Below are 25,613 nucleotides of genomic sequence, written 5' to 3'. Positions count from 1 at the left end.
ATCTTGATCCAATATGACCCAATTTTGATGATTTTATTAAGTTTCTTCCCTCTGAAATACCTTTTATAGATGTTCTGTTTTAAATGTGAAAATACCTAATATGAAAGCTTGTCTCTGTTTACTCCCATGGAGGTATTTAAAAAGACATATAAATGCTTTCAGAAACGTACTTTGTTTTCCTTCAAAAGTATACTTTATAACATTAAACTGAACAAAAGCAACGTCTTCCTCTAGATAGACACAAATGGATTTCAGTATCATGGTGTCAGGATTTCACAGTTCTTGACACTTAACTTTTGAAGGTAGAGCTGTTTCCCACCTGAATCTCCAGGTCTGGTTGCAACTTCTGCCTTCCTATCTATGATTCTTCTTTTTCTCACACTCAAGGAAGCCAACCAGAGGCAATGATTGAGCACACTAATGAATGTTAAACTGTTCTACTTTCTTTTGTAATAAAATTATTTGGAAACTTTTGGTGTTCCGTGATAAATAACCAATGGATTGTGGCAATGCTCATAGTACACAAGTGTGGTGAGACTCCCTGGTGGAGAACAGCTGTTCTATGCATGGTTACATACACTGTGGAATTAATGCTGGAACATTATGTCTTTCAGGCACTAAAAAATAAATTGCCATTTAGCATTTATAGCTGCAGTACTAAAGTGACAACCTTAGTGACCTGAAAGTGTTCATGTTTCTCTAAAGCATAGGTGGGCAAACTTATCTAAAGGTCCACATAGTAAATATTTTCAGCTTTGTCGACCATATGGTCTCTACTGTGCCTCTGTAGTACAAAAAGAGACATAGACAAGACCTAAACCAGTGAATGTGGCTGTGTTCCAATGAAGACTAATTGATGGGCACTGAAATTTGAATTTTATATAATTTTCAGATGTTATAGTACTTTATTTTTTTATATTTTTAAATATATAAAACCATTCTTAATTGTTGTGAGCCATACAAAAAGGGCTAGGGGCCAGATTTGGTCCATAGGCCATCTTTTGCTGCTCACACTCTTAAATATGAAGCCAGCAGCCAGGTAGCAAACCAATTAAATAGGTTGATCTAGCTGGTTAGGCCATCCCAAGGAGAACTGTTCTTAAAATAACTCTTAGCTAGAATGTGAGGTGAGGAAGTCTGATGTTCCAAAGGATACCACATATAGAAACAGAATTCAAAATTGCATAGATAGAAACTCTCTCTGTCTGAAATCAATCAGGACCCTGATCTCAAAGATTAACAGGTAGGGGGCATCAATTGTATACAGACAGATTGCAGATTGTGCTGTATCAAAAAATGTGGAAGTGTTATGGGGGCAAATTCGTGCAACACAAATTTAGAGTTTCATTTTGTTTTTGTTTTCTCTCCCTGAATGCCTAATTAAAAGGAGTATGGTATTTATTTGCCTTTGCTAGAGTTAGTAAAGATGGCACTATTCCTATAAAATTATTTGTGTTAGCAAGAACATGAAAGTTTAAAAGCCTGGGTGTTCTAAGTCTATGAGAAATATCTTCATTACTGATTATTAACAGCAGAATTGATTTTCAAGGCATTTTTGCATGCAGAAAAACAAAGACAAATTAAAAGAAAGAAAAAAATCAGAAGGAGGGTGGTAGACAGTAGCAATATGGTGTGGGTGTAGACAGATCCCTGTGATTCATGAAAAAGTTAGGGCTCACAGATTAACTCTGTCTTGAGAAAGTGTTTCATTTCTTATAGAATGGTTCCCATCAACCAGTTTCAGATCATTGCAGAAATTAACACAGAATTCTACCTATTTAGGAATCAGGCCGTGCAAAATCTACAATACTAAATGCGAACTCCAGTCCTGTGGTGGTGGTGATCATCGTGGTGGTAGTTGTTGTTTTATAAATATCAGCAGGCACACATCTGGGGCTTCAGTGCTTGCCACAATGTCGTTTTCTGGTTGACATATATCTAAGAAATGCGTATATTAACACCCAGGCTATAGAGCCAAGCACATTTTAGTGCCGGCTACAGCTGAAAGAATATGTTTCCATTCCTTGTCCATCTGTTCTTGGCAACATGAATTTAAACTAGAAACACAGAATAAGTTTCATGAGAAATAAGTCTAAATGGGGTTTAGAACAGCAAGGTGGAAGCTCTAAGTTAACATTTGATTTTGTAGCTAAAATATTGTTTTTACTTGGAGTAATCCGGTGCTACAGCTACAGCTTAAAGTTAAAAATAATAGATTTTTATTATTCACTTAAAAGTTTGGTGGCTTGGTTGCATATTCTTTTTAAAGTGCTTTTATTAAATTTACCTACGATCCTGGGCTTAACGAACTTGGAGATTGCAAAGCACTATTTGCTGCCACACAGTTGAACTACACTGAAAATAAATCATTAGCATCTCTAAACTCTATGCTAAAATGGAGTCATTAGTGAGGAGTGAGCACTTTCTGTACAAAGTGGATTCCCTACAAAACACATTTGCTTGTTTTTCTATGAGTCCGACCTCAAATATGACCAACTATTACATGGCTTTCTTGTATAATAATCATGCCTCCCACCGTATTCCACTCCTCTAGTTTTTCTGCTACTAAACAATGTACAATTGTGTATTTATATTTGAAAATACACAAAAACACATAAGAATATTACAATGGAAAAGAACCATATATATGCACCTAGACTTTGGCCTCCAAATCAAGGGTCTCAGCACTCTGAGTTAAATAGGTGAGCAGATGGGCTGTCACTGAGTCTTGGGACAGGACTGTGTGGGATTCTATTGATGTGAGTTCAACTTCTGCTTTCTGGCTGAATGCAAATATTCAGATTGGAAAGGAACCTTGAAGCTCACGCAGTCCAACCTCCACCTTTATGTTAAGATGATTTCTAAAACGTTGTAAATTCTGTCCTTTTCATATGATTGATTTATCAAATGTAGCATAGTGCATCAAAGCAATTAGGTTCACTTTTTGGCTCTGTCACTTTCTAGGTATGTGAATATGAATAATTATTAACATCTCCAATGTTTAGCTTCTCTATCTGTAAATGAGGAGAATCACATTTATCTTAAATTGGTCTGGAGCAGGAGCAAATGAGATAATATAAAGTAATTAGTCCTAGTAAATACTCAACAAGCGACAACTCTTAACTATTAGCCCCTTTTTAATGTCTTCTGCTAAAAAAAAATTTAATAATAATGATTGCATGGGACTAATTATCTAGTATACTACCAAACAGTATTTTGTAGAATATTCCTTAACATCGGAAAAACATTTCACAAAATTACTATTGTTTCTTGAACTTCTGTACAGTTACCTATTACTACAGACAAGTTACTCAAAGATTTAGGGACTCCCATCTTCTAATGTATAAAATGAGAAGCTCCAACTCCATGATCTCCAAGGTCTCTTGTTCAAGTAATTTAACAAAATCATGTTTGACAGCATATCCTCATATTTTATTTATAGTGTTGAAATGTGTATTTGCTGCCAAATGTCTGATGTGGGATGTATAAATGGTCCTTATATACATGTGGAATAACATTAAGTTTGTTGATGTTAAAAACTACTGGGTTTTTTTTTTTTTTTTTTGGTATTATTTGGCTCAGAATCTGTGCTTCCCATTTTGTTTTAGAATAAGCTGACAGCAAATCATTTTCCACAGAACCTCAAGGTTTAGTTAAACTGAGAGTTATAAAAGTAGGCCATCTTTTTATTACTTTAAGTTTCTAAGACAAGCTTTCTTTGTGAAGTGGCTGTTATTTTTTTTAATCTCCATAATATCAAATGGCATTAAATTGTGGACATATGTATACACATTGCAACTTAAAAGGCATCTACTTTCTTTCAGATCTCAGTGACCAGCTGCTGGAGGTGGTCGGCTTGGAAGGAGCCATGGAGATGGGGCAAATATACACAGGCCTGAAAAGTGCTGGCCGGCGGCTGGCTCAGTGCTCCTGCGTGGTCATCAGGTAGTTCCCTTTCTGTAACTGACAAAGGCGTTTGATATGGCATAGCCTCAAACTAATTAAAAGTATGCAGAACTCTGATAGTAACATTGTCTTCTTTGGGCTCCAAATAATCAGTTATTAATACTAATATATTTCAAAATAATGGACATTGGCAGATTGTCTAAAATATTGGTTAGCTATTACTGATATGGTTTGTTGGAATCTGATTCTCTCTTGTTGACTACCATGGACATATTGATGCACGAATTCAAACATACAAATTTTATGATTTATACTCATATTAGTCTACTGAAGCACCAAAGTATTTACTGGGCAAATTATCTATGAAAACAATGATGAGACACCATTGACTTAAATCATTTCATGGACTAAAGTGCCACAGTAAGATTTTATATATGTTTTAAATTTTAACTTTTTCAAGCATTTTTTTTGCCCAAAATTTCCCCCCAATTTTTTTTTTTTTTTTTTTTTTTTTTGAGACGGAGTTTCACTCTTGTTGCCCAGGCTGGAGTGCAGTGGCACGATCTTGGCTCACTGCAACCCCACCTTCCAGTTTCAAGGATTCTTCTGCCTCATCCTCCCGAGTATCTGGGATTACAGGCACCCGCCAACACATCCTGGCTAATTTTTGTATTTTTAGTACAGATGGGGTTTCACCATGTTGGTCAGGCTGGTTTCAAACTACTGACCTCGTGATCTGCCCAGGTGAAGCCACGGATTGTAGCACAGGAATAATTGATGTTATTTATCTGGAAGTGTTGGTGCTAGAAGAACTGGGAGAAACACCTTTCTCCCAGTTTGCAATGTAGGGTTATAAAAACAAGGAATCTCTTTTGGCTGTAGAAATTCTGATCGTGTCATTAAACATAAACCCTGAAATTTTTCTTTTGGCATCCAGAATTTTTTTAAATGTCACTACACTTACCAGGAAGCTCATAATATTCCTGTGACTAAGGTACTTTTCAGGGTATTTATTAATAGTGGAGAGTTGAAGCTCCTTTCATTGGAGATAAATTTAGAGCCCAACTATTACCATATTGCCTTCCCTGGTCTCATCATCTTATATCTCACATATAGTCTGTAATATAAAGTATTTCCTTGCAATACTTACAATGAAATATTTTCCCCCAGGACGAGCAAGTCTCTGCCAATGCAAATTGATGGGGAGCCATGGATGCAGACCCCATGCACAGTGAGTACAGAGTAGTTGATATGCTATGTCAATCTCAGTTTTGCTTTCCTCTTTGACTAAATAACCACAATAACTGATTTTTTTCTTTATTTCTTTTCAACCTATCAGCAAATAGTCTTTTTGTTGTTGTTGTTATGTGTGTGTCAGAGCCACTACATTTAGGTTGTAGACATTATATACCCTTGGCAATGATTTAGCTCTTGAATGTTTGTGTTAGCCTAAGTATAAATAGATCTTTTAAATAGATCAATTATAAACCATAGATCAATTATAAACTATGGAGCTAAACAAAATATTAATAAAAGTTTATCTGAAACTTTTTTGTTTATTTCAGAGCACATTATTAGAATATTATTTGCAAGAAATGCAGACCTAAGCTTATATGTGAACTTATTTCTCAGCTTTTCTATGCCTCCATTTGGGGATTTGAGGGCTTTCTTCTCCATAAGAAAAAAATTTCTCTCCAGTTTCTACCATAATTAATTGTGTTTTCCAGAATGAGGTATTATTTAAGGCAGACACTGCCCCTCTCAAAAAAAAATCAGTTTTCATTTGCATAGTGAATATTTTATTGCATTTCAAAAACATGCTAGGAACTGCTTTTGGCACTGGGAGTAGACACATGAACAAGACCAACAGTGTAATTTCCTTCAAGTTACTTACATTCCTATAATAGAGGACCGAATAAATAAACAACTACATGATAAATATAACTTCAGACTGTGAGAGTTATTAAAAAATAAGGTGAAATGATGATAAGAAGCTGGATTAGGTGTGGAGAATAAATACTACTTGAGATAAGGGAGACCTCTTTGAAAGGACATAGCCAAAAGCTTAGTATAAAATTAAAAAAAATAAAAAAAAAACTTAGCTGGGCTTGGTGACACGCACCTGTAGTCCCAGCTACTCAGGAGGCTGAGGCAGGAGAATCACTTGAACCCGGGAGGCGGAGGTTGCAGTGAGCTGAGATTGTGCCACCGCACTTCAGCCCGGGTGACAGAGTGAAATTCCATCCCCCCCAAAAAAAAGACACTAAGGAGGGTGGTGTGACCAAAGCTTCTAGAATTAGGGGAGAATGGTAAGAGTTTAAGTAGAAAAGGTAGACAGAGAACAAATCATGTAGAAAAAAAATTGACGGTAAAGAGCTAAATTTTGATTCTAAGTACAATAGGAAACTACTGAAAACTTTAAGCATCATCTGATTTACATTTTTTTAAGTTCACATTGGCTGCTCTGTGGAGGATTGATTGTATTGAGCAGCAACTGAGAGATTGGTCTATCCTAGTACTCTGGGCTTGGGCAAAGATGGCAGCAGGGAAGTAAAATCAAAGTGGATGAATGTAAGCTATATTCCAGAGGTAGAACAGGAAAAATTTATTAATGAGTTCCTGGGGGTGCAGGAGGTGGAGGAGAGAAAGGGCTGAATTGAAGTCAACTCTTACCTAAGAATGATAGTGTGATTTACTGAGTAGTTAAAATTTGGAGAGAAACTGATTAGAGGGCAACAGGGGAAGGTCTTAATCTTGCACAAGCATTGTGCTGAATGCTTATGTTATATGTGAGTATGTATTAAATATTCACACAAATTCTAAATAATGGAACCACCATTTTTTAGATGGAGAAAATACAAGTTCTGGGAGGTTAAATAGCATACTCAAGGGCAGGTATGAAGTAGATATGGAACTAAAATCCAAGACTCTTTAATTAAAGCCCATTCTCTCAACCACTACTGTAAACAACCTTAGTTACAGATTTCAAACAGCACAGATTAGCATGTAAGAAGGAATTTTTCATTTTACCTTTGTAATGGTTTTACTCTGAAACTACTGGCTCAAACGTTGTGTATAACACATAAACATTACTTCATCTTTGTTTCTGGTGTATTCCTTTAGCTGCCTGAACACTAAATCTTTTTCCTCCCTTCACCAGTATGTGTACACATACATCTTTTCTGTGATCCTTCACTCTCCAAATGACACTTCTAAATTCACATTATTCTATTCACATGGATGTTAAAAATGTTGTTTTTAATGATGGTGATGGTGATAGTGATGATAATGGTGATAGTGATGGTGGTGATGCTATTGCAGAGGTGGTGATGGTTATGATGGTGGTGGGGGTAATAGCTGCTACCGTGATGGTGGAAATAGTGGTAAAACTCGTGGTAATGGTGGTGATGGTAGTTGCAATGGTGGTGGTTGTGATGCAAGACAGTAGTGGTTGGTAGCGGTGTTTTTAATGAAAAGTCACTTTTCATCAGCCTTGGTAACAAAAGAATAAGTAAATCAAAGAAATAAAACCAACTAGCGTCCATGAATACTCTTTGTATTATTTTGGACTCTTCTCAGGAGAAGAGGCATTTAGCCCTTATTCCATGTTTTGAGTCGAGAAGCGGTCACAGCTATGGTAATATCCTAAAAAAAGTTCTTAGAATGTCCTGTACATCCAGTTGGAGACACTTGACCCATGTTGATGCATTTAATTCTCACAAAAATTATATGGTTAGCCTTATTTTATGAAGGAAATAACTGAGGAAGACAAAGGTTAAATAGTTCATCTAATTCTACACAGCTAATAAATAGCAAAGTAGAAATGGAAACCCAGGTAGTCTGACTCCAGCATCTGCACGCTTCATCTCTGCTCCTTACTGTGAAGCTCAACACAAAATGGCCCCGGTGCATGCTGGAAATCTCCCTCCAGAGTGTGTGACCTTTGGTAAATGACGGACTACCTTTCTCCCTGACTACCTTTCAAGCTTCTCCAGCTTGAAAATGTCTGCCTATTGAAATTTAATTAATGTGTTAGAATAATTTAAGCTTGTTTAACACAAGCACTTTTAACTACTTTTGTTAATTTTTATTTCAATAAGTAATAAGACATTCATTTCACCTGTTAACTATCATGACTTACAATTGTTAAATTAATAAAAATTTTATGTAACTTATATTAATTTTCTTCCCTTGTAAACTCACTTATTCATTTAAAACATTTATTGCAGCTTACAGTAGGCCAAGAATCATAGTAGACTATGGCTCATTATTGTGATTTTACATTCTGGCATACTCTACTTTTCCCACAGCCGCATGGGGTTCTGAACTTTAAATTTCACTGTAATTGAAGAGAATATTTAGTATTCATAGCATTGGTATGGTTAACTATGGAGCGTTTTTTGCTTCAGTTGAATAACCCAATATTTTTCTTACAGAAAATAAGAATGCTACAATGTTTAAATTCTCTGCTGAATTTAAATATCTGTAAGCTGATATTCAATTTATGAAAGAATTGCTCTAGACATAATTTTAGAGGAGAGCAGAAGTTCTGTTTTTTCTATTAGTAGAATATATAAAACAGAAATATCAATTAATGCTTAAATATCAAGATAATACAAGTTTTGGAGTTGGTGGGTAGTGATGGTGACACAACAATGTGATTGCACTTGGTGCCATTGAACTGCACACTTAAAAATGTAAGTTAACGTGGTGAATTTTATGTTATGTATATTTTACCACAATAAAAAAGTCACTAATAGAAAAATTAATGTAAGATACATTTATAAATTTCACCAATATTGAGTTCAAAGATCAGGAAAAGAAAAAACCAAAGAGCTTAGTACTCATTCTTCAAATATGCACTTGGTAATTATTTTTAGGACCATCTAGATTCTGTCACTGTAAAGCCATCAACATAAATTTTTAAGTGCTCCTGTATTCATTGTTTTGTAATAGTCACTGAGTTAACACAATTATTTTAGCCATATAACTATTGCTTGTGATAATAAGCATATCAAACTAAAGACAATATTAATTCTAGAAGAGAGTATATATTGAAAATTGTCTTAGAAGAGCTGTCTTTAGGCCAGACTCCAGAGTCTATTTTATTCTTTCTTCTTCCTCCCCCATCCTTCCTCCTGAGCATGTAGAACATATGATTCTGTAGTCAATATGTTCTTATAATGGGAAGAAGAAAGAGCAGCTTGGGGTGGAGGGTAGAGGGAATAGAGTGGTAGGATAGGAGAGGACATAGACTAGGTAAGATTTTATTTTGTATCTGTACAACCAGCACCCCTTTACTACCCATTTATTTTAAGTGACACATGACCAGTAAAGTTTAAGTGAGAAGTGACTATTCAAAGCCTCAGGAACCTCAAATTTATTACAACTAAAATGGACTCATCATTTGCCTCCCCATATCTCTCCTTCCCCAGATGAGGTCTTCTCACATCCTAGATCTGCGATTCTTCCCTCTATCATACTGAGATAGTGAAACCATTGAAACACCTGGTGTTTCCTAAGCTAGAAATCTGAAAGTCATCCTGTACTTCTCTATATACCCTCAAATCCAATTTACGTGTCCATATAATGATATGACCTATTTCTGGAATCTTTTCCTTTCTTTCTCTCCCTATTAACCACTGTTTTAGATTTGGCCCAATTCATTTCTCTCTCATTCCTGGCAAAACCACATCAATATTTCCCCATCTCAATTTTTGTTCCAATTAAGTCCATGCTTCACATTTCTATCAGAATAGTCACTATAAAATATGAATCTCACCATGGCACTCTTCTACTTAAAATATTGTTTAGTTACTCTCTGTCTGATAAAATGTGGTTTGAGTGAGGCTTCCTGTTTTACCAACATAATCTCTTACTTTTTAAAAAGTCTTTTCATGCGCTTCCCTCTTGTCCAAACAAATTTTTCCTCTTCTTTAGTTTGGTAACACAACACATCTTTTGAGGCTCATTCCTTGCTGTCCCTCCTCCATAAATGCTTCCCTGAGCACAACCCCTCCTTCCACTTCTCCACTCCTTTTTCTCCAAATAGCCTAAAAGCTCAGCCTCAGTGTTTCAGTTTTATCAAAACAATAACAACATTACGTTGGAATTCTCAGTTATATGTCCAGCTCCTTTTAGACACAGGCTTACTGAGGTCATGGACCATGATTTGGATCATCTTGGTAGCCCCAGAGCGTAGCACTGTACCTCACACATAATTAGATTGCCAATACCAAATGCACTTTGAATTTGCAAATTTCTGAAATACTTCTTAGGGTAGTATAACATTTTTAAAAAGTGTTTTTCTACTAAATCTTCTTTCACTGAACATAATGTAGGTTGGCTAGCAATTCATTCACATATTTTTATATATAAATACATGTAAAAGTTATTTTGAGTTATCTTTATTCATTATATTCTCAAAGCAAAGAATTTGAATGTATCAGAGAAGAAATTCTTTCTCAATCTCAAAAGATTTAATCCTTCTATTTCCTGTATGGTATGATTAAACTTCTTTGGGCCACTTCCCTCTGGATTATCAATTATACATTGCTTTTGCACATTCAAAAAGCTGCATTCTGTTAATTATTTGAAATATTAATAGGCATGTATTATTACTCATGACACATTTATGAAAAGTAGTGCCAACAAGATTTTAATGCAAAATTACTCTGGGTATTTTGTTTATGATGAAGACAGAAAAAAACTCCTGAAACTTCCTTCCATGTGGTAGAGAACGGAAAGGAAATCATGAACAGATTATACATTAAATAGTGAAATGATCACAGGTAGACTAAGAAGACTCTACAAAGTGATAGCTGAGGCCACGGCAACTTCTAGAAAACATTTATGTATGTTTTAACCCCTCTTTGCCTTTTTTCTGTACCTTCCCTGGCATAATACCTCTTAAGATCTTAAACCTGTTTGCCCAGTCTTAGCTTACAACTACCTTCATTGTGCAATTGAGCCCTGACCTGGTGCGGGACCAATCCCCACCAAGCCTGCTAGTCTTGCTGTCTTAGGTATGATCCTTTCAAATCCTGGGTACCCTATGAGCACCTGTCTCCTACTGCCCAGACTTCTACTGTGTGACCCATTCCATGAGATGCTATTTTCTGACTTGACTGCCAGTTCCCCTCCCTGACACTAGCACCTCCTTGACTTGGACACTGACTGCTTGCTTTGCCTTTGTTTGTGTCCTCTACTAGGAAGACTTGGTCTTTTCTCTGTTGCTCTAGCTACTGCAGTTATCTAGAGTTCATTTTGACACTTCTTTTCACACATCCCACCATAACTTTAAAATACAGACTATTCAAAAAGAAAAACAGTATTCTGGAGCTTATTACATTTTTTGTTTATGTGTTTGTTTTTTCAAATCATTAAAATGATCATAACATTAAAGTGTTAGTTACTCTTTAATCGCTTGCTAAATACACAATAATCTCAGGCCATTAAGATATAAAGGAAAAGGTTGTATAAATTTAAGTTTTTCAAGACCCAGCAAGTTAATATCAACTAGACAAAGGTTGCTGGATTTTTCAAGACATAAGAACAGCCTGGAGATATTTGGAGGAAACCCTGGTGACAATACCTAGATATAAAATTTACCTTGCTTACCATGTACCAGTTTCTGTTGTATGTGTACATGTTTATTACTTATTTAATTTCCACAGCAACCCTAAGATGTCAGTAAAGTTATTATAATCCCCATATTATAAATTTAAGAAAAAACCTGAAGCCAGAGAAGTCAAGTAACTTGCCCAAGGCCACACAGCAAAAGGCAGAAATAGGCCATTGGGTTTTAATCTCTTAATTATGATGCTTTGCTGCCTCACTCAGTCACTCTTCAGAGGCTTAATGTATTTCTTTCTTTCTTTCTTTCTTTCTTTCTTTCTTTCTTTCTTTCTTTCTTTCTTTCTTTTTTTTTTTTTTGAGATGGAGTTTCTCTCTTGTTGCCCAGGCTGGAGTGCAATGGTGTGATCTCGGCTCACCGCAACATCCACCTCCTGGGTTCAAGCGATTCTCCTGCCTCAGCCTCCCAAGTAGCTGGGATTACAGGCATGTGCCACCACACCTGGCTAATTTTGTATTTTTAGTAGAGATGGGGTTTCTCCATGTTGGTCAGGCTGGTCTTGAACTCCCAACCTCAGGTGATCCACCCACCTTGGCTGCCCAAAGTGCTGGGATTACAGGTGTGAGCCATGGCACCTGGCTGCCTTAATGTATTTCTAATACTAATAATTAATTACAACTCTATCATTTAAAACAGAAAATCCCTTTTCATCTTATTTATATTATTTATTTTTATGTAATACATATTTTGCTTCCCACTGCAGCCAAAGCTATCCATCATATTGTTGCCAGAATTACTACTGACCAACACAGCTATGATGATCTTACTCCCTTGATCTCAAAGTTCAATGCCTCCTCATTTTACACAGAAAAAAGTTCAGAATCTTTGTCATGACATTAAATTATTCTCCCAAGGCCGGGACCAGACTGCTATGCCTCATAGGAACCACTTCCCAGAGGATTACCATGCATAGTACTTCGTTTTTTGCCTCAAATCCTTACCCTCTATTTTGTGCTTTAGAAATAGATTCATTCTTCTGGTCTCCAGGCAGGCTACCTCCAAATCTGTGGCTTCTTCCAGTAGTTATCTAGGACTCATGGTTTGCATTTCTTTTTTTTTTTTTTTTTTTGAGACGGAGTCTCGCTCTGTTGCCCAGGCTGGAGTGCAATGGTGCCATCTCGGCTCACTGCAATCTCCACCTCCCGGGTTCACGCCATTCTCCTGCCTCAGCCTCCCGAGTAGCTGGGACTACAGGCGCCCGCCACCACACCTGGCTAATTTTTTTTTTTTTAATTTTTAGTAGAGACTGGGTTTCACCGTGTTAGCCAGGGTGGTCTTGATCTCCTGACCTTGTGATCCACAAGCCTCGGCCTCCCAAAGTGCTGGGATTACAGGCGTGAGCCACTGCACCCGGCCCATGGTTTGCATTTCTTTCATCTAGTCTTACCTATGGTTTATTAATTTCATACACATAATTTTCCCCTTTTAGTCAGATTGCCTGAATTAATTATTCTGTCCTATTGGGATATATGTATTTTTATAAGTTACTTCAAAATCTTTCTGGAAGGCAATGAGATATAAATACATACATACTAAAAATAAAATAAAATCTCTTCCTTCAATGCCAAGCTTAGAAGCAATTTCCTCATGAAGCCTTTTTAACTTCCCATCTGTCAGAAATATTTGCCTGATCCTTTGTACTCCTGTGACTCTGTTGATATCTTCTTAACAGCATTCCAATTCACAGACTTGTATTTCGGCTACGCATGCCTGCATCCAGCTCTTCTGACTTAATTGTAAGCATTTTTAAATTTCATCTTTAATTCCCCTTCATACTTTGCAAATGTCTTCTTACATAGTGCAATTTCTGATAAGAAATTCATAGTCGTTTGAATCATTGCTTTGCAATATGTAATACGTCATTTTTCTTAGGCTGCTTTCAAGATTTTTTTCTTTGTCTTTAGTTTTCAGCAGTTGGACTTTGATGAGTCTGGGCATGGGTTTCTTTGAGCCTATCTTGTTTTAGTTTCACTGAGCTTCACGAATCTGTAGCTGTATGTTTTGCCACATCGGCACATCTCCAGCTATTATTTCTTCAAATATTGACTTCTACGCCACACACTCTCTCCTCTCCTTCTAAAACTCTGATGACGTGTGTTAAGCACTTTATGTATTGTCTCATAGATCTTTGAGTCTGTTCACTTTTTATTTCCTTCTATATTTTCTATTGTTTACATTGGATATCTATTCACCTGTGTTTGAATTCACTGACATTTTTCTCTTTTATCTCCATTCTGTTGTTGAGTCCTTTCAGTTATTTTTTATGTTGTTCATTGTATTTTTCAGTTTTAAAATTTCCAGTGATTCATTTTTTAACTATCTTCTATTTCTCAGTTCAGGCTCTCTGTCTTTCATTTCATTTCAAGAGTATCTGCCATTACTTCTTAGAGCATGGTTATAATACCTCTTAAGTCTTTGTTAATTCCAACAATTGTATCATCTCAGGGTTTGCATCATTGGCTATATTTCCCCTTGTGTGTTTTTGAGATTTTTCTGTGATTCATATCTTGAGAAACTTTTTATTATATTCTGAACAGTTTTAATATTGTGTTATAAGACTCTAGGTATTTTCAATTCTCACAGGAAATGTTAATTTATTGTTGTTGCTGTTACTATTTTAGCAGGTAGTTGACTCTGTTAGGTTCAGGTTACAAAAGCTGCTCTATCTTCTGTGAGTTGTGGTTCCAGTATGTTTGTTTGGTTTTCAAAGTGTTTGCAATGTTATTCAGATGTATCTTACTTGTAAAAGATCCATATGCCTGTCTGAAAACTTGGTGATGATATACCCCCAAATGCAGCTCTCAAAGTCATCAGTATGTTTGTTAAGGTCAAATCTATGCATACACAGCTAAGGGATAAACTCAGGTGATCAAATGCAACTTCATAGGATAGCTTTCTCAAGCCACCTCCTCTCCATGATCTCTCTGATATTTTTTTTTTACTCCCAGGGCTCTCATATTGTTTCTCTGACCAATAATCCAAGGCTTTTGTTTCCTCACTTTGTCATATATTTCTCGAAGTAGCATCTGCCTCCAGGGTTCTGTGATAAAGGAATAGAGAGAGAAAAAAGGAGTAGGACTCCCCCCATGCTTTGGGAACATACTTTCTCTAGTCAGAGAAAAGATGTCTCCTCCATTGGAGTTTTAATTACCTTCCACTGCCATGGAATTGCCAGAGGACTGGGATGGAAATGATTAACAGAATTTTTTTTTTTTTTTTTTTTGAGATGGAGTCTCATTCTGTTACCCAGGCTGGAGTGCAGTGGCATGAAGTTGGCTCACTGCAACCTCCGCCTCCCGGGTTCAAGCAATTCTCATGCCTCAGCCTCCCTAGTAGCTGGGACTACAGGCACACACTACTACGCTCAGGTAATTTTTTGTATTTTTAGTACAGATGGGTTTTCACCCTATTAGCCAGGATGGTCTTAGACTTCTGAGCTCAGGCAATCCGCCTGCCTTGGCCTCCCAAAGTGGTAGGATTACCTGCATGAGCCACCCACTGTGTCTGGCCTGATTAACGAATATTTTTCCCATTCACTCTGATCTGTAGGGCCCTTCTTTCCTATTTTTGTACCAGTAGGACAGGGTTTTTCTTGGCACTTTCTATCTGTACCTGGTATACAATTCCAGTTTTTGTTCTGCTTTTAAGTCCAGGCCAGGAGGTGCAAGAGTAGAGAAAAAAACTAAAAACTAAAAACTCATCACTGGTTTGATGGCACTTCATGTTCTGGTCTTCTTCCCCAATTTGCCTTTTATTATTTTCTTTTCAGCAACTTCAGATATCTGCTTCATGTGTTCTGCCCAGGGTTTATAGTGCATTCAGTGGGAGAGATAGAGTGAAGAGTGCTTATTCCTTCTTAACTGAAATTGGAACCCACACCCCCACACCATTAGATTTTCTTGTTTATGACTATTTTGAGATCTGGCTAAATTCTCTCCATCAGATTGGCATATTATTAGCTAGAACTACCTGCGTGCTGACTTGGAGATTTCATAGATTATTCCCCATTTTCATATTCCTTCCAAAAATACTAAATAAGTCTAATAAATGCCCTAAACCTTGAATCTTAAAACATACCCAATTTGAGAAAACATCACTGATATTTTTTCTACTCTTGTGCCCCAGATTTAAGCAGTTTGAGACAGCATTTACCACATTGAGAGAAAATAATTGACCAAAAAAGTTTAGTTGTTTTTACCCACTTATAAGATTAAGGTTTTAGGTATTTCTATAGGCGAGTAATGATGTGGATGACCACATGAGATTTTCTTTTTTAAATTACATTGTAGGCGAACACATTTTAGGACTATTCCAAGTAAGTTATCTGTTAGTATAAGACACTTTTAGACTATACGGATGAGGTTAGGTGAATGTCCAAGGTCATGAAACAAAGAGTTATAGAACCGGGACTGTTCCTACCTTTTATTATTGCTGAAATTGTCAGCAGTTCGTTAAGCTTGTTTGCCTAAGGATAAAAGGTTCAGAAAGGAAGAAATACCATGCTTCTGAGGCTTTCTGAAATGTGCAGTGATGAATAAAGGAGCACAGGTGTAAAACAGACAGTAGTCCAATGAGACTCCTTTATATTTTGGCTTTCTTTAGCAGTTCCACACTTAGCAAACACAGCCTAGGGCATCTACGTGAAGAAGCAACATAAACCATTGTAAGAAGAGATTGTTTTAATGGTCCTTTCAAAGGCCCATTCGAAGTTGAATATCATGAAAATCCTTTCTATTTCAAATACCATTTAAATGAGCACTTCACATAATATATATTGGAAAATATAATGGAATCCGTTGATCACTTTTTTCCCATAGTCTATGTGCTTATATCTTAATTTTTAGTTCAAGAAACAATAGGTATTTTTTAATTTAACTTGGGGATAGAACTATGTTTCTTGACTAGAAGCTACTAAAGCCTAAATATAAACAGTACATGAGAAAGGATTTATAGCAGGAATAGGGCAAATTTGAGAAATTAAAAAATAGCTAGAATTCGCATTTTTTTGTGATAGGTGGATCTCCTTTTACCTCCTATGTAAATTAACTAATCACAGAACAGAGGACTGGAAACAAATTAGTAAGTTGTACAACCTTACCACTCTTTTATTACAGAATCTCAGCCATTTTATTAAAACTTCTGTTTACCAGATTTTTATTTAAAACCTATTCTAGGTTCTACTATTTTAAAAGTTATTTTGAGAAAGTTGGCATCTGCAACTGAAATAGTCAACTTTCCTAGCACTTTAACAGAAATTCAATGTAGTCTGAGGTTAAAAATATTTTTCACTCCTTGAAAATAATGTTTTCTGGGATATCTGTAAGGAAGGAGGGGAAAAACTGCTTAGGAAGATTACTATCCAAAGGGGCAGAAAATAGAAATGAGGGCTGGAATCCACGGTCTTGTCTTTGCTTTTTTAGTGACTTCTGGACTTTGGAGAGTTATTTAATATTTTTCTTGGAATTATTTTCCTAGTCCTAAAACCTGCTACCTACGAGTCACAAAGAAATATTGAATGGTTGTTGAAAATTACCATATATCACATTTAGTGATATTAAGAAAGCATTAATTAATTTCTGGTATATATTAAGTATTGTTATATTTAATAATACATCTGAATTTTCTTCTTTTTCATAATTTAGACTAAATTCCCTGTAATCCCCAATTATACCCCCCCAAAAAGTTAAACCCATGTTATTCTACAGTGGGACAGTATTTGACATCTTTGAAATTCGGCCAAAGTGTTACAGAAAATGTAGCAACATCATTATTGTTTCCTCATTATCATTTACAGTTAAACTGATATTAAAGAAGGACATTGTTTTATCATAATGTTTAACTTTCATAATTACATAAAAAGAAAATTATGTTAAAACTCATCTAGAATAGATGCACTGAAAACAGTGCTCTGAAATAGTGCGATGAAGTTTATCCGCATAGTTACATAACTCTTGAATCTCCCAAGACCGTTGCATTAAATTCTTTAACTTTAAATATCATTAAATAATTCTTAATGTACCAGTTTCATTATCTGGATAGTAGCCTTGTTTTGAAAATGTGAAAATAATATTATTTTCTAGTTAAAAGTTGCACAGCGATTGTAGCAACACTTGCTGACTTGGTAGACACACCGTTTTTAAAGAATCTTAAGTTGCTCTAATGGCTTATTTTACCAGAGTGGGAGAAAAAATCAACAGAAGAACGTGTATTTTTAGTGATGAAAGAAAAAGACTAACCCATATGTAAACAGTAAGAAAATGCTTTAACAGGTAGGTGTAGATAATTAGTATTTTCCTGATGTGCCTAGAAATTGCATTTTGCCTAATATTTAAATACTATAGATATCTGTTAAAGAAATAAATACTACAGTATTTTTTGTTGTTGTTGTGGTGGTGAGGTTTTTTATTTTGTTTTTTTTTTTGTTTGTTTTTTGTTTTTGAGATGGAGTTTCTCTGCTGTTGCCCAGGCAGGTGTGCAATGGCATGATCTCGGCTCACTGCAACCTCTGCCTCCCAGGTTCAAGCGATTCTCCTGCCTCAGCCTCCCGGGTAGCTGAGATTACAGGCACCTGCCGCCGCACCCAGCTAATCTTTGTATTTTTAGTAGAGACAGGGCTTCACCATATTGGTCAGGCTGGTCTCGAATTCCTGACCTCAGGTGATCTGCCTGCCTCGGCCTCCCACAAAGTGCTGGGATTACAGGGGTGAGTCACTGTGCCTGGCCAGTTTGTTATTTAATAAGCCTAAATGTTGATAATTTGAAGAGAGAAAATTAATAGTCTTCTGCCCCCTTGAAACATACTGGCATGAGCAGACTGCTGTTCTTGTGAGTATATGTTTTAAGGTGTGAGTGGTAGTGAGACTCCAAAAGCAATTAAATAAAACATAAACTAAAAGCACCTTTTTACCTAAATCTTCATTAGTAAATGCTTTTGCATAAATTTACAATTTTAAACATTTATTTTTCCAAAGACTGGCACATCAGTGTTTAGTTGGACATTATTTTGTGTGTTCCCCTGTTACTTATGCATTAATTAGTTTGGTTTACCTGTGCATAATTTTTCCTAATTTCATAACAATTGTTGTTTTTTGTAATTGACAACACAATTTACTGCTTGTATGCTTTCTGGCCCTCAAGCAACAATGTTAAGATGTAAAGCACCAAGCTTTTCATTTCAGATTGGTTAAAAAAAAAGGATTGATTGTGACTAATTTCCAATTAATTTGCAGTAGTTACAGGGGAACAAAACCATTGCACCTACTAATTAAAATTTAAAATATTCCAAGGTGTCATCTTTAGGTGTCTCTGGAATATATAATTTCCATTTTGGTTCATTGCTGGATCTGTAACACCCGTGAGCTTGACAGCTCTATTAATTTAAAGGCTCAGTAATACCTATTAGTACAAAACATGAAAAAAAAATACCATTAATCATTTATTTTAATTTTGCAGCTCTGTCATTTTCTCAGTATGTTTTAAAATTATGATGACACCATAATGTGCACAAATCGACCTGGATAAAGGGGAAATGGATCATACTACTTTGGAAAGATACTGAAGTACATTATTAGAGCTTAATTAATGCCAAGCTGATTAGATATGATTGCTTTTTGTATAAAAATATTTTAAAGATTTTTTTCTTGTCATAGCATATTTTAAATGTTTTCCATCCCAAATGTTATGTTTACAATTAAACTTACATTTTTGTCACTCTTCACTTTAATGCATTCAATTTAAATATTGTTCAATGAATTTAAGTTTTTCTTTTATTCTTTATTTTGAAACCTGAATTAATCTAGTCATTAGTTTCCAATTCAAAAAATTAATTTCATTTTGGCTAGCAGATAGTAATATCTCTCATAATCATATTCTCATGTAGGAACTCCAAATCTATGTTGGACACAATATCTAAAAACATGAAAGGTTAAAAATTAAATGAGAAATATGCCAGATATGTAATACCTTATGTATTTATATTGATGTGACCCAAGCCTGTAAATATGATAAAAATGATAAAACTGTATGTACTTATCAGAATTTTGTCATTAGTTTGCAAGAGGACCAATATTCACATCCAGTTCGAAACTGAATATCTTCCTCTGGAATGTGCAAAATTGGAAATAATCTCCCAGTTGATGGTTATCATCAGAATAATAATGCACAGGTTTGATTGCTTTTAGCAGTTAGAAATCTTTCTGCTGGTGGATACAGACTATAGACTCACAAGGTCTGGGCCTGACTATCCTCTCACATTTGCCTTCTGACCTTGCCTTTTCTAACTATTAATTTTCTGTGATCTCCGATTTTGTGTATTAAAATTAGAAAACAAGGCTACCACATTCTAAGCTCTTCATTAAAAGGCAATAATCTGTATTGTTGAAAATTTTAAAGAGTGAGCCTGCTTATCACTAATACAGAACTAGTCCACTGTTTCACAGGGATCTTCCTGGGATAGAATACTAATTTTAAATAAAAATTTGAACTTAAAGTGCTTAATAAAAATGAACTGACTAGAATATCATAGTTTATTATTTTTATTTCCTCGAATATTCAGAAGACAGTTGCATATATTTCTTTGGAGGAGACTTAAAAAACTCAAAGACTTTTTTTTTCTTTTAATTATACTTTAAGTTCCAGGATCCATGTGCAGAATGTGCAGGTTTGTTACATAGGTATACATGTGTCATGGTGGTTTGCTACACCCATCAACCCGTCATCTACCTTAGGTATTTCTCCTAATGCTATCCCTCCCCTTGCCCCCCACCCCCCAACAGGCCCTGGTGTGTGATATTCCACTCCCTGTGTCTATGTATTCTCATTGTTCAATTCTGAATTATGAGTGAGAACATGTGCTGTTTGATTTTCTGTTCCTGTGTTAGTTTGCTGATAATGATAGTTTCCAGCTTCATCCATGTCCCTGCAAAGACATGAACTCATTCATCCTTTTTTATGGCTGCATAGTATTCCATGGTGTATATGTGCCACATTTTCTTTATCCAGTCTATCATTGACGGGCATGTGTGTTGGTTCCAAGTCTTTGCTATTATGAATAGTGCTGCAGTAAACATACAGGTGCATCTGTCTTTATAGTAGAATGATTTATAATCCTTTGGGTATATACCCAGTAATGGGACTGCTGGGCCAAATGGTATTTCTGGTTCTAGATCCTTGAGAAATCGCCACACTGTCTTCCACAATGGTTGAACTAATTTACACTCCCACCAGCAGTGTAAAAGTGTTCCTATTTCTCCATATCCTCTCCAGCATCTGTTGTTTCCTGACTTTTTAATGATCGCCATTCTAACTGGCGTGAGATGTTATCTCACTGTGGTTTTTGATTTGCATTTCTCTAATGACCAGTGATGATGAGCTTTTTCTCATATGTGTGTTGGCTGCATAAATGTCTTCTTTTGAGAAGTGTCTGTTCATATCCTTTGCCCACTTTTTGATGGGGTTGTTTGTTTTTTTCTTGTAGATTTGTTTAAGTTCCTTGTTCCATTGGTCTATATATCTGTTTTGGTACCAGTACCATGCTGTTTGTTTTGGTTACTGTAGCCTTGTAGTATTGTTTGAAGTCAGGTAGCGTGATGCCTCCAGCTTTGTTCTTTTTGCTTAGGATTGTCTTGGCTATACGGGCTCTTTTTTGGTTCCATATGAAATTTAAAGTAGTTTTTTCTAATTCTGTGAAGAAAGTCCATGGTAGCTTGATGGGACTAGCATTGAATCTATAAATTACTTTAGGCAGTATGGCCATTTTCATATTAATTCTTCCTATCCATGAGCATGGAATGTTTTTCCATTTGTATCCTCTCTTATTTCCTTGAGCAGTTGAGCAGTGGTTTGTAGTTCTCCTTGAAGAGGCCCTTCACATCCCTTGTAAGTAAGTCGTATTCCTAGGTATTTTATTCTCTTTGTAGCAATTGCCAATAGGAGTTGGCTCTCTGTTTGTCTGTTATTGGTGTATAGGAATGCTTGTGATTCTTGCACATTGATTTTGTATGCTGAGACTTTGCTGAAGTTGTTTATCAGCTTAAGGAGTTTTGGGGCTGAGACAATGGGGTTTTCTAAATATACAATCATGTCATCTGCAAACAGAGACAATTTGACTTCCTCTCTTCCTATTTGAATACCTTTTATTTCTTTCTCTTGCCTGATTCTCCTGGCTAGAACTTCCAATACTATGTTGAATAAAAGTGGTGAGAGAGGATATCTTTGACTTGTGCCAGTTTTCAAAGGGAATGCTTCCAGCTTTTGCCCATTCAGTATGATATTGGCTGTGGGTTTGTCATAAATAGCTATTATTATTTTGAAAAACTCAAAGACTTTTGATAGATTATATCATATCATTCTCATGACAAATCTGTGAGGTGAACAAAATAGCTATTATTAAACATGATTTTTAAATCCATAAATATAATTTACAACTCTTTTATCCAAGCCAAGTCAAGAATATCAATGATTGGCCAGGCACAGTGGCTCCTGCGTGTAATTCCAGCACTCTAAGAGGCCGAGGGCAGGCAGATCACCCAAGATCAGGAGTTTGAGAATGGCCTGGCCAACATGTGAAACCCCATCTCTACTAAAAATACAAAAATTAGCTGGGCGTGGTGGTGGACGCCTATAATTCCAGCTACTCAGGAAGCTAAGGCAGAAGAATCACTTGAACCCAGGAGACGGGGGTGGTTGCAATGAGCCAAGATGGCGCCACTGCACTCCATCCTGGGTGGCAAGAGCAAGACTCCATCTCAAAAAAAGAATATCAGTGATTCATTTATTCATTCTTTCAGCAAACATTTATTGAATTCCATCTCTATGAAGCTGCTGACATTTTGTCCTAGTGTTACAATGAATGGAGAGAAAACAATACAAAGTGAACCAAAAAAAGATATGATCTCTGAACTCAGTGCAGGTACACATAACTCAAATAGTCCCACAAATATAAAATTTCAATAATGATATAAGGTCTGTGAAGGAAAGTTCATGATCCTTTGAACTGTGATACTACGGTACTGTGGTACTATTATACTGTGACAGGGTATAATAGAGGTGTTTGATCTTGTTGTAGAAGGTCCAGGAAGGCTTTCAAAGAAACTCAAAATTGACCTGAAAACTAAAAGAGGAGAAGGATATAACTAGGCCCCAAAGAGAGGGAAGAGTGTCTTATGCAGAGAAAACAGTACAGTGTGGGAAGGAACCTGGTGTGTACAGGGTTCAGAAGGAAGACATGAAAGAAGAGAGGCAGCGTGGGGTGAGGCATACGGTCCAGTGGGAGCAGAACAGCAGGACCTGGGAGCCCTCATGAGAAATGTTTAGCTTTAATTTAAGGGTAACATGGAAGTAAAGAGAGGTTTCAACAGGAAAGTGATGTGAGTAGATGTGCACGGTGACAAGATCATTCTAGGTGGGGAATTAATTGGCGGGAGAGGTAATGACCATTTAGAAGAATTCTATAATTGTTCAGGCCTTAGAACATGGTAGTAAAAAGGAAAAAAATTTCAAGATATACAAAAAATATTTGGGGGATGAAAATGATTAGAGTCAATAATAGATTATTGGTTATAAGAGGTAAGGAAAAGAAGGTGTCAAGGATGATCTGGGTTTCTGGATCATTTTGAACAACTGAATAAATGATGAAACAATACCTTGAAACAGGAGGACCTGAAAAAACAATCAGTTTCCTCTCTAATCCAGTACTATTTCAACTGAATTATTCTCCCTATTCAATGCCTTAAGCACATTGTTAGAAATATCAATTATCATAACACCAAGCAATGGCAATTTTTTTGTGGATAAGTTATCAAAATTGAACATCTGTATCCAATTGTATTACCATGATGTAGTTTAACGTTGAGGAGAAAGTCTTTCAGATCAGTGCTATGATGCTCCAAATAGCCAAGGTTATGGCTGAGTCTAGAAATTGGGCCATTAAAGAAGTTTCTTCTTCTAATAAGACAGTGTGAGCTTATTGGACTCCCTTGATTAAACAAACAAACAAACAGAAATAATTATGCTCTCTGATGGTTAGTAAATGCCCCACATTAATTTTTTTCTAACCTTTCTTTTGGGTAAAATTGGTGTCTGGCATGTGGCGGGAATGCTGCCAGGTGCCACAGGGAGAAGGCAGATGGCCATAATATGCCATTTCCCAATGCCACCCAAGGAACACAGAAAGCTGTGTTGTCTCAGATAGAAGAGGGGTTAGCAAAATGTGTTTCCACGGGACTAAATATAGTAACACTAAAAATAATAACATTTATTAAGCATGTATATGACATGCATAGCCTTATTTGGTATTTGTAGTGGTCTTTCAAAGTAGGTGCTATTGTTATATTACTTTAGCAAACAGAGACCGAAGGTCAAAACTGAGATTCTTTGGTCAGGGTTTTATAGCTGCCAGTGACTAATCTGGGAAACAAATCCTTGCCTCATGTCCTGGGTCTATGTCCTTAACACCATTACTACGTGAAAAAGGCCATATAGAAAATTTTAGTTGAAATATTACTCAGTAAGAAAAGTCAAGTCACAAGTTGTAAATATTCTCTAGTTAAGAAAAGAAGTGTTTTTGTATTGTTTTGTTATGTTTTTGACTTCTATTTTCCATGTGACCACAGATTTGGAGATACTCTAAGAAAAGATGAACAGTTACTGGTTTAAAATTGTGAGGATCATTTCTCTGTAGAGACATGGAAATAATAAAAATGCTTTTAAAATGTCTTTGACCTTCCCTGACAACTAACTTAGAGCCACAAAAATATTTTGGAATGAAGAACACAATTTATATGTTAAAAGAGATTTCAAATCCAGGTATGAATATTTCCCATGCAATGTGGCCAAATAGTCCATCACTTTCAGGAATAAGTGTTCTCTTTTCCATACATATTTAAACTTCCTGTGAATTTAATTGGCAAGTAAACCTCCCAACTCCATTTTTTAAGGATTTTATTTTAAGTCTTCACAATGATTTCTCTGAATTTGATGTTAGATCGAAGACTTTAACATTAAACTTGGAAATTATCATTCCAGAAAATAATGGCTAGAATCATAAAAAAAAAAAAAAACTGGCAAAAGGATTTTAGAAAATTGTTATGTTTCATTGCTTTGCTTTTTTGGCAGTTATGGACCTGAAAAATTTAGCATGTACTTTATTCCCGCTGTCATATGGCTCAGCTACACACATGAATTCAAAATGGTTTCCATTATTAGAAGGAGACAATCTTATTCCAGAATCAAGCTAAGTAACTTTTAGTGTTCCAGATAATTGCTAAATTAAGCTCTACTCACAGATATTTTATGGTATTTATTTTGCTCTGAAAACCCCATTCATTTTTAAGGTAGCTGAATAAATTCAGTGATAATAAACTCTTAAAGAGATGAAGCAGGGAGAAAATTTTTGGCTAGATACAGGGTGAATATTTAATAGGAAAAAATGCTACCTGCTGAGGTATGTTTGAAGAACCATAATATTATTAAGCCCACTCTGGTGCAAAGCAATGAGAATTAATTAAAAAGAGAATGCATTTAAGCCAAATTTGATCAGTTGGTACATTATCAAAATTGAGGAATGTTAGTATACATTCTAATTCAGAATTTCCACAGAATGATTTCTGAATGGTGGCACTTAGTATAATAAAGATACGCCAAAGAAAATTATTTCCACTTTTATCCATCTTTTAGCCATTGACCCAATAAATCATGATTTTAAATTAAAATTATTTCTACCACCTTATGCCTCATAATTCTGAATTTAATTTTCAGTGTTTGACTTAATTATATCAAGGGTCAGCAAATTATGGCCTGTGAGCCAAATCTGACCAGCTGCCTGTTTTTGTGTAGCCAAAGAGTTAAGAAGAGTTTTCATATTTTTAAATGGCTGAAAAAATCCAGAGAGGAATAATATTTCCTAATGTGAAAATTATATGGAATTAAAATTACAGTTTTTAGACATAGAGTTTATTGGAACATGGCAACATTAATTTATTTACATATAGCCCAAAACTGCCTTTGCTGTATAAGGGCAGTGTTGAGTAGTTCAGAGACCACAAAGCCGAAATCATTTATTATCTAATCCTTT

At 35.8% G+C, this 25,613-nt stretch overlaps 1 protein-coding gene across 21 annotated transcripts in view; it reads left to right on the top strand.

The window, feature by feature from the left end:
* DGKB (diacylglycerol kinase beta) overlaps positions 1-25,613 on the top strand; it is an 829,810-nt gene that overhangs the window by 792,883 nt on the left and 11,314 nt on the right. For 20 of the 21 annotated variants that reach the window (NM_001350722.2, NM_001350711.2, NM_001350717.2 and 17 more), the window contains 2 exons: positions 3,825-3,945; positions 5,077-5,137. In NM_001350722.2, the coding sequence (NP_001337651.1) occupies positions 3,825-3,945; positions 5,077-5,137 (182 nt within the window). Of the gene's footprint in view, positions 1-3,824; positions 3,946-5,076; positions 6,004-25,613 lie in introns of those variants that run through there. The other variant, NM_145695.2, reaches the window with a different exon arrangement.

Source organism: Homo sapiens, chromosome 7 (genome assembly GCF_000001405.40).
Source record: "Homo sapiens chromosome 7, GRCh38.p14 Primary Assembly".
Taxonomy (NCBI): Eukaryota; Metazoa; Chordata; class Mammalia; order Primates; family Hominidae; genus Homo; species Homo sapiens.
The sequence above is the reverse complement of the archived record's forward strand: the minus strand, read 5'-3'. Positions and strand labels throughout refer to the sequence as shown.